This window comes from Homo sapiens, chromosome 22, assembly GCF_000001405.40.
Source record: "Homo sapiens chromosome 22, GRCh38.p14 Primary Assembly".
Taxonomy (NCBI): Eukaryota; Metazoa; Chordata; class Mammalia; order Primates; family Hominidae; genus Homo; species Homo sapiens.
In genome coordinates, this window is record NC_000022.11 from 26,468,880 (window position 1) to 26,483,673 (window position 14,794).

At 44.4% G+C, this 14,794-nt stretch overlaps 1 protein-coding gene across 54 annotated transcripts in view, besides 1 other annotated feature; it reads right to left on the reverse strand.

Annotated features, from left to right (window-relative positions):
* Positions 1–14,794, reverse strand: part of HPS4 (HPS4 biogenesis of lysosomal organelles complex 3 subunit 2) — a 40,755-nt gene that overhangs the window by 25,771 nt on the left and 190 nt on the right. For 37 of the 54 annotated variants that reach the window (XR_001755364.2, XR_007067985.1, XR_007067983.1 and 34 more), the window contains exons 2-7: positions 12,843–13,361; positions 10,386–10,476; positions 8,114–8,257; positions 3,953–4,060; positions 3,423–3,539; positions 1,840–1,934 (exon numbers count right to left, since the gene is read on the reverse strand). Coding sequence is in view for 37 of the 54 variants with exons in the window: in NM_001349905.1 (NP_001336834.1) it covers positions 1,840–1,934; positions 3,423–3,539; positions 3,953–4,060; positions 8,114–8,257; positions 10,386–10,476; positions 12,843–12,883 (596 nt within the window). In the remaining 17 variants the exon portion in view is untranslated. Of the gene's footprint in view, positions 1–1,839; positions 2,044–2,333; positions 2,510–3,422; positions 3,540–3,952; positions 4,061–8,113; positions 8,258–10,385; positions 10,803–12,842; positions 13,362–13,866; positions 13,995–14,794 lie in introns of those variants that run through there. The other 17 variants (XM_047441580.1, XM_047441578.1, XM_047441573.1 and 14 more) reach the window with 6 other exon arrangements.
* Positions 2,081–3,280: an enhancer, noted in NCBI's record as "CDK7 strongly-dependent group 2 enhancer chr22:26866926-26868125 (GRCh37/hg19 assembly coordinates)". NCBI's record gives its function as "activates an origin of replication core promoter dependent on BRD2, BRD4, P300/CBP, MED14 and CDK7 cofactors, with strong dependence on CDK7, by STARR-seq in HCT116 cells {active_cell/tissue: HCT116}" and the evidence as "EXISTENCE:reporter gene assay evidence [ECO:0000049][PMID:35650434]".

Genomic DNA, 14,794 nt, shown 5'->3' on the forward strand with positions numbered 1-14,794 from the left:
AAAAAATGAGTAAACCACCAAAATGTTCATCAACAAGACAGTAAAGCACAACACAGCCAGAATCCCAAAAAGTATGCAGTCCTCATAAGAATGAGGTAGACCCATATGAACCGGTAAGGAAATCTTCACTGTATGCGTTGAGAAACCATGTGATCCTATTTAAGGAGATAGCAAAAATAAACAAAAGCAATATATGCATACATGTACCAGTGGGGACAAACACACAGAAAGAGCAAGATGCCCACCAAACTGCCAATGGTGAGGACAGGTTAAGAGTGAGGGAGAGGCTGGGCACAGTGGCTTACTCCTGCAATCACAGCACTTTGGGAGGCTGAGGTGGGAGAATAACTTGAGCTTAGGAGTTTGAGACCTCCATGAGCAACATAGTGAGATCCCATCTCTACAAAAAAAAAAAAAAAAAAAATCAAAAGCTTGGCCAGGTGTGGTAGCAAGTGCTTGTTGTTCCAGCTACGTGGGAGGATCACTTGAGTCCAAGAGGTCGAGGCTGTAGTAAGCTGTGTTTATGCCACTACACTACAGCCTGGGCAACAAAGCAAGACTGTGTCTCAAAAACAAACAAACAAAAATGGTGAAGAAAGAAGGGGGGCTTTTAAATTGTGCTCTGTGTGTTCCTCTATTGATTGATTTGTTTACAGTGAAAATGTATTCATGTATTAGCCGTATAATGTAAATACAGGCTGGGTGCAGTGGCTTATGTCTATAATCCAAGCAGTTTGGGAAGCTGAGGATCGCTTGAAGCCAGGTGTTTGAGACCAGCCTGGGCAACATAGCAAGACCTCGTCCCTACAAAAAAAAAAAAAAGAAAAAAAAATATATATATATACATTTAAGAAATGCAAAATGAGAAAAGGGGAAAAAAAATACTGTCTTTGGTGGGTATGTCACTGACGAACTTGGAAATCCCACAGCTGATTCAGAACCATCATGATAAGAACCGGGGCAAGGAAGAAGAGTGCAAAGCCCACCAGGGTCTATGCTCGGTTCTTCCGCATCTGTCATCTCATTTCATTCTTCACAAGGGATGTCTATTTCCCAGAAGAGAAAATTGAGGCTAAGCAACTTGCCCAAGGCCGCATGGCTGGCGAAAGAAGGGAGGATCTGGGGCCGAGCCTGTCTGGCCCAAGGGCCCCTGCGAGAGCCTCAGTGCTTCTCCATTTACACAGTAGTTGCCTGCTCCTCAGGAAGCTCCGGGCACAGCGCAATGGCCCTGCCTGCCCTGGGCTGTGACAGCAAACCCTCCATGAGGAGAGAGGCCTTAGATGACCTAGAGTGGCTCTTGGGCACTCAGATTCACCAAGAAGCCCTCCAACTACATGAAGAAGTGAAGTGAATTCTCAGAGGCCAACCAAGACACTGGCCCAGCCAAGAGGCTTGAAGGCAGCTGGATAAGGGCCTGTAAGGCTGCTTTGCAGAGCTGAGCTGAGGCAAGCACACCAGGGTCTCTGGGCAGCAGGAGGAGGGTCACAGCAGGCCCCTTCCATGCCTCTTGACTACAGTGCTGGCTGCTGGCAACGCTCGGGACTCTGCATTAGCATTTTGCAGACTGACAACTATTCCAGCATGCCCCATACTGAGAATTATAGGGACATTCTTAACTCTTTTCTGAACACAACTATTTCCAATTTCTCAGCTTTGCTCAAAGACAGGTACACACCTGTCTTTCTAAACTGAGTCAAATCTAAACTACCTGATATTTGCCGAACCAGCCCACTTGGAACTGGCCAGAGACTGGGCTCCCCACTGTGATCTGGAGGTGGCTGATGGTCAGTTGTGCAGCAAGGGAATGGGGCTGGAAGAAAGGGGTCTGGAGTTACTCACAGTCCTTTATAGAGGATGCAGCCAGCGAGAATGTGAGGCGAGCGCTGGCAGGTCTGCAGAATGCGGGCTGCCTTCAGCAACAACAGGGGCTCCACCTGTGCAGGGCAAGAGGCATCATGCCCACCCATCAGCATGCTCACAATCAGGAAGGGAGAAAAGGGGAAAGGGTTGTACAGAACAGCTGGACAGGGTGTAGCTCAAAGCCTGGAAAAGGAGAATGTGTCACACAGTGAAAGCTGTGCCATGGCTTGGGACTATTCTACCTCTCTATACTCAGAACTGCTGACACCACTAAATGCCAAATTCTTAGAACAAGGAGGCCTGTCCAGAAGCTAGAAGGTGCAGCAAATATGGCATATGGCTATTCAAAGGGGTCAAAGTAGATGGCCTGGGAGACCGACTGTCTACCCTGACAATGCTAAGACCTCACGGCAGCAGAAGAGGAGGGTGTATCCTATAAATACATGTCATGGTACCAGGTGAAACCCACCTACCCTATCCTCCACTTTCCTTCTGAAGCACAATCCCCATGGTGATACAGGTGGCTTGATGTCTGACCAGGTTCCATGACTCTATTCCATCACATAAAATGAAAACATCATGCTCTTTCACTCGGGGAAATATGCCTCAGTTCCACATTCCTTGTATGGAGTCAGGGGCCTAGAAGTCCCTAAAAATACAAGAAAAGCATCTGGACCTGGTCAGGAAGAGCCAGCAATAACCAGCAGCCTCCTCAGACTTCCACCTGCCAGCTAGAACCAGCAAGTATCCACCAGCTGTTAGAACTAGTGTTAATGGAGCCTCCGGAGCTGCTGACACATTAAGAAGTTTATTCTTCATAGCCTCAAGACTGTGCCATCCCAGCCAGCCATTCTATAAAGCTCTGGGGCCAGCTACAGGAAGTTTTCCAGACTGGAGCAGGGAAAACCCTTCCCCATGTCTGGTGGAGTCATGCTCTGTGAAGGCTGAGCCACAGTGCTACACCCCTGCTACAGGGACATTATTTACTATCGCAGTGAGACACAGGAGAGGGCTGTGAGTCAGGGCTCAGGTAGCTGGCTCTTAATGGGGCAGCACAGGTGGTCAGGCCAGCCACACAAGCAGCCTAGGTTTCACTGAGTGCCAACCGCAAACGGAGCGGCTCAGAGATACAAAAACAGTTCCCAACCATTCTCTCTCAAAGACAGCAACCTTGTTTTTGAAATGTTCATGCTGGGCATTTTTGATGCTGAGAATAACTAGATCATATGATATGAATATCAAGAGAGGCGGCCTTCAGATTACTGAGTTCAACACTTCTGAGGCATGAACAAAATACTAATTCCCTTTACTGAGCATTTACTTGGTGTCATTTGAGGTACTGCTTCACTTGATCATCAAAACAGTTCAAGAAGGCAGGTATGCTGACACCATTCTTTGGATAAGGGAAATGAGGCTGAGAGGTGACCTGCCGTGTCATGGCCCTGCCTGAGAAGTGACATTCTACTCACTTTTCCAGATATAGTTCACTTCAGGAATATTAAAAAAGTATCCAGAAGCCCTAGTCTTACATATAAAATGAATAAGGAGGATGAAAATGTTACTTTAGTTTGGTCCAAGTTCCAGAGGGAATTGAAAATCTTATGCAGATCACTGGTGTTTTTCAGAATTTGCTCGATGAAGGTGTCCCACTCCGTGCTCAGTTCTTCCTGAGAACAGTTCTAAAACAGAAAGAGCCTCAGGTCAATATCTGAGATTTTGAGGGACAGATTCTTTGGCCAGAGTCCCAACTACCTCAAAAATTGTTCCTCACACAGGAAACTGACCGGAAGGGAGGACCTGTTTTAAACCTATCCCATCACAGATCCACGGCGCCTGCCGCGTGGGGGTGGCAAGCAGGGCCTGCGCTTTCTAAACATCCCAGGGAGGAGATGGGGATAAACATTTGGAATAAATGTGACCTATGCCACTAGGCCCAAAGGCATATGAGGGGCCTCCAAGAGCTCCTGACCTTGTCCCCAGACACAATGTGTTTATATGAAGTATACAAGACCCCAGAGTAAGTGCTGCATTCTGGCAATACCGGTTTTTATAAAGAGGCCCAATGTAAGACTCCTCAACCCCATACTTGTACCTCATAAGCTAGGGAAACAGGTCCATTGTAAAAATTAAAGAATCCAACTAGCTGATCCAGAAACCGCTTGCAGCTGACATCAGGGAGCTCCACAGCACAGCCCAGCACCTGTAAAGAGAGAAACCAGGAAGACAAGCATCTTCCTTCTCTTTGAGTCCAAGCCCAGAATCCTGGCATCCAGGGCTCTCAATTACCTGACTTCACTGGCCCATCGAAATTGATCTTCTATTGTCCCTGAGTCCACACCCTTCATTCTGGCCAAGTTAATCTCCATGGACAAGTAAGTTCTGTACCTCAATTCATGTTTTCCAATCTCAAATGTCCTTTTCCTTATTGTTCATTTCCCCAGAACTTACAACCTTCAGTGCCCACCACCAATTTCAGTATCTCCATGAGGTCTGTTCTATTACCTCGAGCCAATAATGCTGACCTTTTTTCTGACCCTTGCATTGTTAGGACTGTTATTTGGACAGTAGATGTTTAATCTGGATTCCATTACAAACAATGGACAGGACTCAAACTCCTTCATGAATGGCCATCATGTTTCTCCAGCTGGATAGAGTGCTTTAAGAGCAAGAACTGACCGCAATCTTCCCAGTCCTAGATCTCCAAAATGCTGAGCGTAGTGGTTAGTTCCACAGAAGATAAATACTTGGCCGGGCACGGTGGCTCATGCCTGTAATCCCAGCACTTTGAGTGGATCACGAGGTCAAGAGATCGAGACCATCCTGACCAACATGGTGAAACCCCGTCTCTACTAAAAATACTGGGCGTGGTGGTGTGTGCCTGTAGTCCCAGCTACTCAGGAGGCTGAGGCAGGGGAATCGCTTGAACCTGGGAGGCAGAGGTTGCAGCGAGCCGAGATTGCGCTACTGCACTCCAGCCTGGCAACAGAGCGAGACACCGTCTCAAAAAAAAAAAAGTACTTGCTGAGTTAGAAAGTTATCTGGTCATATGTTTAAAGAGCCTGAAAAAGTTCCTATTACTTGATGTAGTAATTCTACCTCTAGGAATCTGTCCTAAGGGAATCATCAGATATTTAAACTAATAAACCCTGACAGAAAACAAATAAACAAAAATTCCCTCTGAATGTAAGCTACAGTAGCACAAGGATCTTTGCTTTGTTCCCAGATGTAATCCAAGAGCTTACAACAGTCTGGCATGTAAGAAGTGTTCAATTCTTCCAATTGATGAACAGACTGAATGCAATTGCAATCATAATCCCACCAGCTTTTCTTCAGAAACCACAAACTGATTGTACAATGAAAACACAAAGAACCTGAAATATCCAAAGCTATCTTGAGAAAGAATAAGGTTGGAGAACTTATACTATCTGGTTTCAAGACTTACTATAAAGCTATAGAAATCAAGACAGTGTGGTACTCACACAGAATCTTCAAACAGATCTGTGGAAAAGCCGAAAAGAGTCCAGAAATAGACCCACGCTTAAATGGTCATCTGATCTTTGGCAAAGGAACCAAAGGGAAATCCAATAGGGAAAGGAAAATGTTTTCAACAATGATGCTGGAAGAACTGGTTATCCAGGTGGAAAAAAAAAAAAAGATCCTTGACCTCTATTCACACCATTCACAAATATTAACCCAAAGTGGATTACAGATCTAAATTTAAAAGCTAAAACTATCAAATTCTTACAAAAAATAAAAAAGGGAGACTATCTCCTCCAATGGAGTAGGCAGTGGTTTTTTTCAGGCAAGACACAGAAAGCAATAACCATAAAAAGATAAAATTTATAAGTTAGACTTCATTAAAATGAAAAACTTCTGCTCATCAAAAGACAACAAGAAAATTAACAGGCATGCCACAAACTGGGAGAAATTATTTTAAAAAGATGTATCTGACAAAGAACTGGTATCTAGGATATAAAAAGAACTACAATTCAATTAAAAAAATAAAACCCAATTTAAAAAATGGGCAGGGCTTTGAATGGACACTTCACAAAGGAAGATATTCAAGTGGTCATTAAGCACATGAAAAGGCCTCACTATCATTAGTCATCAGGGAAGTGAAGACTAAAACCACAATAACACACCACTGCACATCCAGCAGAATGGCTAAGATGAACAGACTGTCAATCTCAATGCTGATGAGCAGGTGGAGTAACTGGAATTCTCATACATTCTTGGTAGGAATGTAAAATGGTACAACCACTGAAGGAAAAGTTCTAACAGTTTCCTATAAAATCCAACATACACCTACTCTATGACCCAGCAATTCCAGGACTGGATATTTACCCAGGAGAGATGAAAACACGTGTTCACCAAAATACTTGTATAGGAATGTTCCCAGAAGCCTTATCCTTAATATCCCCAACTGGACACAGTTCAGATGTCCATCAAAAGAAGAACAGATTGTGATATATTCAGACAACGGAATACTGTTTGATAATAAAATGGAACGAACGCTGATAGATGCAACAACATGAACGAATTTCACAAGTGTTAAGTGGCAAGACAGACGCCTGTAAAGCATGTAACCACAAACAAGCATTAAATTTCTTTTTTTTTTTTTTTTTTTTTTGAGATGGAGTTTCGCTTTTGTTGCCCAGGCTGGAGTGCAATGGCGCGATCTCAGCTCACTGTAACCTCTGCCTCCCAGGTTCAAGAGAGTCTCCTGCCTCAGCCTCCCGAGTAGCTGGGATTACAGGCATGTGCCACCACACCTGGCTAATTTTGTATTTTTAGTACAGACAGGGTTTCTCCATGTTGGTCAGGCTGGTCTTGAATTCCTGACCTCAGGTGATCCGACTGTCTTGGCCTCCCAAAGTGCTGGGATTACAGGCCTGAGCCACAGCGCTCAGCCCCAAACATTAAATTTTAGTTGATGATATGCATGATAGAGAGAGTATCTGTGTGGAGAGTACACTAATGTGTGCAACTTACTTTGAAAACTGTAACAAAATAATTTGGGGCTGGGTTACAGTGTCTCGCGCCTGTAATCCCAGCACTTTGGGAGGCCAAGGCGGGAGGATTCCTTGAGCTGAGGAGTTCAAGACCAGCCTGAGCAACATGGTGAAACCCTGCCTCTAGAAAAAGTTTAAAAAATTAGCCGGGCATGGTGGTGCATGCCTGTGGTCCTAGCAACTCAGGAGGCTGAGATGGGAGGATCGTTTGAGCCTGGGAGGCGGAGGTTGCAGTAAACCAAGGTCACACCTCAGCACTCCAGCCTGAGCAACAGATTGAGACCCTGTCTCAATAAAATAAAATAAAAATAATTTGAATTAATGGGAGGATAAAGGAATGAATAGATAGGTAATAAAACAACTATAATAAAATGCTAACTGTAGAATTGAGGAGGTATATGAGTATTCACTGTAAAATTCAACTGTTCAGTACTTTAAAAAATTTTCGTAATAAAATGTTGGAAATAATACCTACAAAGTTGAATATAGCATCCCACACTTAAGCATCCCTTTACCTCAGGAAGCCTTAAAATAAATGTAGCCATGGGAAACAGCACTTTAGATTATATGCTACTATTAGAATGTAAAGGAATGATTTTTATTCTTTTTTTTTTTTTAAGACAGGGTGTCACTCTGTTGCCTAGGCTAGCGTGCAGTGGCAATCATGGCTCACTGCAGCCTGAAACTCCTAAGCTCAAGCAATCCTCCCCTCAGCCTCCCCAGTAGCTAAGACCACAGACATGAGCCACCACACCCGGTTAATTTTTAAATTTTTTATAGAGACGGGGGTCTTACTATGTTGCCCAGGCTGATATCGAACTCCTGGACTCAAGCAATATTCTTTTTTTTTTTTTAATGGGTTCTCTAAAACCTAACATATATCTATCATTTTTTTCTGGGTCACTTACCCAGTAAGTGTAGAGAGCATGGAGAAGAAAAGATGATGATAAAAACTCAATTTACAACACAGAGTAAACAGAATTTCCACAAGTTGGCCTAAGTCTTTGAAAGGAAAGGAGAAACCAGCTGTGTGCAATGCAGAATATGTTAGAAATGTTTTGGAAAGCACTTGATGATGAAAACCTGCAGAGAGTACCACAGGAAGCGAGGGTGATTACTAAACACAGTACATGGATGAGGTTGGTGGGGGCAGATAATTCTAAATTCAAGACTCAGAAACAACATAACTTCCTAAACTTATCATTGCAACACTTCAGCACTGATTCTGCCATTCAACTTACCCAAAGGTAATCTCCATCAACTTTTATGGCAAACTTCAGTTTTCTCAGACGAACAAGAGTAGGAGGAGAGTCAGAAATGTCAGAAACACAGCGGACAACTCCAGCAATCTGTCCACAAAGCAACTCCTGTTGGTCTAGCAGGGTCTGTGGGAAAGGAGCACATTCCAGATAGGAAGCTGAAATTCTTGAACTCTTAAGTCATTTCTTACAGCATACTAAAGCCTGCAAGCCAAATCCAGTCTGTTACCCGTTTTCCTATGGCCTGTAAGCTAAGAATGGTTCTTATACTTTTTAAAGGTTACAACAAAGAAGAACATGTGATTGAAACCTTATGTGCCTTGCAAAGCCTAAAATATTTACTTTCTGGCCCTTTACAAAGTTTGCCAACCCCTACCTGAGATGACTGAACCCTAAGAGAACACCCAGCAGGAACACATGCGATGACTGCACAGAACCGCATTTCTGTTGCTAGGATTATAGGCATATGCTTAGCAGAAGCATGAGCCTTTCACTCCTACTCAAATCCCCCATACGGAGTGGCCAGAGGGATGCAGATTAACCCCAACTATCCATGTCAGAGCACAGTCACAGGAGGGAATGTACAGAATCTCCTAATCAACCTTAGCCTTAACTAACGCACAGGACAGCCAGACAGTATGGGATACACAGGAAATGTATACACCACCCATGAAGAATTCTTACCTAGAAAACTGAGCTTGAACCTCACCAAGACTCTAGATCTTACTACTAATGTAAAGGAAATACAGTGGATAGGAGACATTAAATGACACCACCATGAGGAACAAATCAGCCAAATCTAGAGTGTGGGACATTCTAACACTCTACTACACATATGACCTGGTTTCTTCAATAATTCAATGGCATAGAGGAGGGGGAAAAAGATGAGTGGCTGGGTGAGGACTGTTATTAAAAGGACTTAAAATACAAAATAACCAAATAGAATATGTGGATGCTGTTTGGATCCTTATTAGGAAAAAGAAAAAGAAATGGAAGGATGGAAGTATGGGTGCATGGAAGGAAGGAAGAGCAGAATAAGTAATATCCAAGACAATAAGGCAAAATTTGAATACAGTCTGGGTATCAGGTAATATTAAGGAATTACTGTTACTAATTACTGTAACTTTCGTTAGGTGTGGTAATGTTCAAAATAATGCCCTTTTCAGTTAGAGATGTTGCTTGATACTGGTGAGATGACGCAACATCTAGAATTTGCTCCAGGAAAAAAAAAAGAGAGAGAAGAAGAGGTTCAGATAGGTCACATAAAATTGGCAAAGTATTGCCGGGCGTGGTGGCTCACGCCTGTAATCCCTGCACTTTGGGAGGCTGAGGTGGGTGGATCACGAGGTCAGGAGATCGAGACCATCCTGGCTAACATGGTAAAACCCCGTCCCTACTAAAAATACAAAAATTAGCCGGGCGTGGTAGCGGGCGACTGTAGTCCCAACTACTCGGGAGGTTGAGGCAGGAGAATGGCATGAACCCGGGAGGTGGAGCATGCAGTGAGCAGAGATCATGCCACTGCACTCCACCCTGGGTGACAGAGTGAGCCTCCATCACAAAAAAAAAAAAAAAAAAATCGGCAAAGTATTGATAATTGTTGAAGCTACTGATGGCATATGAGGGTTCATGATACTTGCCTCTCTGTTTTTGTATATGTTTGAATACAAACTTATTTATTTATTTTTTTTGAGATGGAGTTTCACTCTTATTGCCCAGGCTGGTGTGCAATGGCGCAGTCTCTGCTCACTGCAACTCTGCCTCCTGGATTCAAGCGATTCTCGTGCCTCAGCCTCCCAAGTAGCTGGGATTACAGGAGCGTGCCACCACGCCCAGCTAATTTTGGGATTTTTAGTAGAGACAGGGTTTCATCATGCTGGCCAGGCTGGTCTCAAACTCCTGACCTCAGGTGATCCATCCACCTCAGCCTGCCAAAGAGCTGGGACTGCAGGCATAAACTACCGTGCCCAGCAGAATAATAACTTTTAAAAACCAAGCTGATCAAAAAATTGGGGGTAGAGGGAGGCAGACAAAAATCATGATGGAAATAGAAAGCTAAAGACGATGAAAGTGCCGAGCTGCCTGGAAATTTTAAGACCAGAACAACAAGAAATAGTACAACTAAGAATAAGACAGTAGAAATGTCATTGTCTGGATTAGCCAAACTGTCCTAATGTAAACCCCATACTTTTGAAAAGTCACCACTTGGAGGCACTGGGATCCTCACTGAACAATAAAATGCTGTGTGGCTTACCTGGGAAGGATAAAAGTAACAAATGCCAGCTCTTGTTGGATCGCCTTCTTCCTTTACCTTGGAACCATCATAAAGAAAAAAATAATTCCACCTGGCAAGAGAACAGAGTGGAGCCATGTTTCCTTTAATCCAGTGATCACGGCATTTAAAACACAGCTTCCTGTTTCCCAGCCCGAGGAGGGCTTATTACTGTGTTTGAAAGCCTTCAGGTGGCCCCAGAGAATAAAGAACCCCAGTAGCTACAAATTAGATAAAACCATTCTGTAAGCGCAGGAAATTCAAACTAAAAATATGCCTCTATCCAGCCGTTAGACCATCTGCCGGAGAAGACACGAGTAGCTAGAAAAAAAAACGAGGCGCCCACAATGACTGCTCTTATTTGAAACACTGAACCTTAACTATACAACCACATGGTCTGATACGCTGTCTTTTAAGGCTCTGATAACAAAATAAGTTAGGGATGTATTAGATGCACTCCTCATAAGTGCTGAGCACAAAGATTTCCAGAAACAGCCCTTCTACCAGGAATTCATGCATTCACTTAAACATTTACTGAGGGCCCACAGTGTGCTCCGCGGTTGCTGAGCAAACACGCAGTTTCAATGCAGGATAGTGAGTCCAAAAGTTCGTAACAGGGAAAAAACAGGGGCCTATGAGAATTTACAGAGAAACTCTGAACTCCTCTCTACCATGCCAAACCTCACCAAGTATCATTCAAGCACACTTCCTCATTAACCGTCTCCTGATTCCCTCGGCCCAGAGATATCTCTTTGTTCTGAATTTCCATGACCCTCTGTTCTTCCTCAAAGACTCTTACAGACTACACTGCAGTATAACTATATTACGTAATGTTATTATCTGATTACCTCTTTAAGACCATAAAACAAACACCTCAAAGGCCAGGCCTCAATTTTGTTTTGTTTTTACAGGGTCTCACTTTGTAGCCCTGTAGGCTGGAGTGCAGTGGTGCGATTGCGGTTCAGTGCAAACTCAATCTCCCAGGCTCAAGCCATCCTCCCGCCTCAGCCTCCCAAGTAGATGGGACTACAGGAGTGTGCCATCATGCTCGGCTATTTTTTTTTAAATTTTTTATAGAAACGAGTCTCACTATATTGCCCAGGCTGGTCTCAAATTCCTGGACTCAAATAATCCTGCCCTGGCCTCCCAAAGTGCTGGAATTACAGGTGTGAGCTACTGAGCCTGGCTGGACCTGTTTTACTTCTAAGTCTCTGAGAACACATTTATGAGGCTATAGCATAAACAAGCAATGGGACCAATGTGTCATCTGCTCTCTTCCCTGGATCTATGCCCTCTCTGAAGCCTCCCTCCATGGCTCCCACCCTGCCTTCCTGATGAAAAAGCACCAACTTGGCTGGGCACAGTGGCTCACACCTATAATCCCAGCACTTTGAGAGGCCTAGGTAGGAGGACTGCTTGAGCTTAGGAGTTCGAGATTAGCCTGGGCAACACCGTGAAACCCCATCTCCACAAAAAACAGACAAAATTAGCCAGGCATGGTGGGGTGTGCCTCTGGTTCCAGTTACTTGGGATGCTGAGGTAGGAGGATCACTTGAGCCTGGGGGATTGAGGCTACAGTGACCTGAGATCATGCCACTGCACTCTGGCCTGGAGGATAGAGCAAGACCCTGTCTCAAAAACAAACAAACAAATAAATAAAGCACCAACTTGGTCTCTTGGCACTGTCCTCTTTCCCAATACCTAAGGCTGGATGTACAACTGGCTGCAGGGTAAGCTCAGATCAAAAAGCCTCAAAAAAGTTTCAAAGCCAACTCAGAAACTCCATGTGCACCCCATCCTCCCCTGTCCCCACGTTCTCTTGATGAAAGCATCCCTGCTTGTGCGGGCACACGAAAGAAAACTTGGGTGTCATTTTGAACTGCTCCATCTTTTTGACTTCCACATAAATAATCAGTCACTAAATCCTGCTAATTCTAGCTAAACCTGCTTTTCACCTTCATCTCCTCTATGACTGATGTTTGCTAAACCTAATTATGGGAAAGGATTAACGCATTTAGGGTTGAGAAGGGAACTGGGTTTCAGACAGACATTGAGTAATACCCCTTGATACCCAGTCTGGCCAGACCTCTCCTCATGCTGTAATTCTCAAATGCAACCATACCTCATCTCTGCAAATTGAAGACTACAATATTCACATTATCATCAAAGCTCGCTGCATGATCAGGCTGTGGCTATCTTTTCTACAATCTCCCAGCAATGCCAGACTCATTCAAACATTGGGAGAGGCTTGCAAGGTTAAAACATGTTAGCTTTGGAGAGCGATGGCTCACGTGCTTGATTCAGCTGCTCTGAGGAAAATGGCATTTTTATTGTTATGTTAATAAAATTAACACAATCTGGCTGGGGATTTTCAATTAACCCCAAAACTCTAACCAACAGCCCAGCAAAAGCTATGCCATGGCAGGCCTTGTTACTCACCACGAGGCTGACTTTGCCTCTGTGGAGGTAGAGGTGGCCATCTACTGTGCAGTCATCCTCATTCTCTTCATTTAGGTTTTCTTTTCCGGTATCACTTCTTTCTCCCTAGCTGTGACCGTTCCTCTATCCCCCAATCCAGTGAATCTGGACGTGGTAGGTTTCAGTGTTTTCAGTCACAACTGCCACTTGGTTAGTTTTCACTCAGCATGGAAAGTTCCACTTCCCTTCCTTGCAGGTTCTTCAGTTTCATGTATATTTCCATGCCTCTTACAACTCAGGGAGAAACTATAACAGAGAATCCTAGCAGAAAAGTCAAATCCATTCCTCTGGTTTCCTAAGTATCACTGTGGCTGTCTGCAGAACCACCTCTTCAAGCTCCTCTCCAGGAAAGCCAAAAGTGGGAGATGCATGCTAGAGCTGGTGTTCTAAAGAAATTTCTAGCTTGTCTAGTTCAAACCCATCCTGAAGACTCTTATTAAACGTTTTGAAGTTTCCAGTTCAAACATCAGTGCCTTGGCTCTGAAATAAACACAAGGAATAGATATTTCAGCAACTCGTGAGAGAGCATGTGACCCAGCAGGATTAAACGAATGGTATATTTCAAAAGAGCTTTCTGTGAGGGTGACAATCATGCTTCAAAATCAAAGAGGGAGGCTTGCAGAGACTTCAGAGTAAGGGCTTTAGTTTCTCGAACAGTTAAGGGAAACACACCACAAGCTTCACGGAAGATAAAATCAAATGACAGGGTGAAAATGCTCTAGGTGTGGACAGCTATACAAATAAACCAGTTGCTGTGGTAATAATGGAACCCAAATTAAGGAACTGTCATCTTGACAGTCCAAAAGTAACCTGAACATGCAGAATTCCAGAGCAGGGCAAATTTCTAAAAAATGAAGAGAACTTTATCAAATGGCTTTCAAACTTCCACAAGAGAAAGACAGCTCAGTGTATCACGGAATTTCAGAGTCGGAAGGAACCCTGGCATCGTTTACTCTACTCTCCTGCACTCTTTTCCAAAAATTACCTTGGCTGTCTCTGCTTTACACCCTCCAGAGATGCGTGGTTCACTATGTTACATTTCTCCTTCCAACAAACTAAAATCTGCGTTCCAGATTTTACATCTGCCTCCCACTCGCTAGTCTGGATAACGCTCTGCAGGAAAACACAAAACAAGGTCTAATTCTTCCATGTGACAACCTCTTGGTCACTTCAAAACTATTGTCTAATTCTTACTGTCACTTTCTCCAAGCTTAATGCTTTAGCAACATGGTCTCAAATGTTTGCTCACCATTCTGCAATCTGTGGGTACACAATACAGTTTGTTAAAAGTCTCTAGAGACGACCCCCATTGAATATTTGACGGCCTGTAAAATCTCTATCTCTTCTCAGCTCTAGATATTTTGGATTGGGCCTCCACAGGACCACACTCATTGTATTCTATGGAGCATATTTGGGTGCCTGTGGAGGGGGTATCTCTGTTACTGGAACCAAGGACAGCAGCCTAAAACTCCCCATCCCTTGTTCCCAGAGGACTGGGCCCTACACTACCGAGGTCCTCTCTTATCTCTGAAAGGTCCAGAAGAGACCAATAATGGCCCTGGAGTAGGAAGAGACGTCGGAACATGAGCAGAAAAGGATCTGGTAGCCTGGGAAGTAATAGTAACAACGCGGGGCTGGGGCTGGTGATACTGCTGTGGGAAGGGGCCTCAGTGGGGCAGCAGGGCTGGAAAACGGACGCTAATGGCTGGAAAAGGGCCAGGAAGCTGCTGGGCGCAGCCCCCGGGGCGCAGGCAGCGACTGGTAACAGCACTAGGGCTGTGCGGTGTCTGGCCCCAGCTCTACGGGACTGGGAAATGGTGGGCGAACGCCTAAGGATTAGGCGGGGTCGGGTCACGCTCTAAGCTGGGGGCCCGCCCCTCGGTATCCCCGCGCTCCGAGCGCCGCCCACCCAC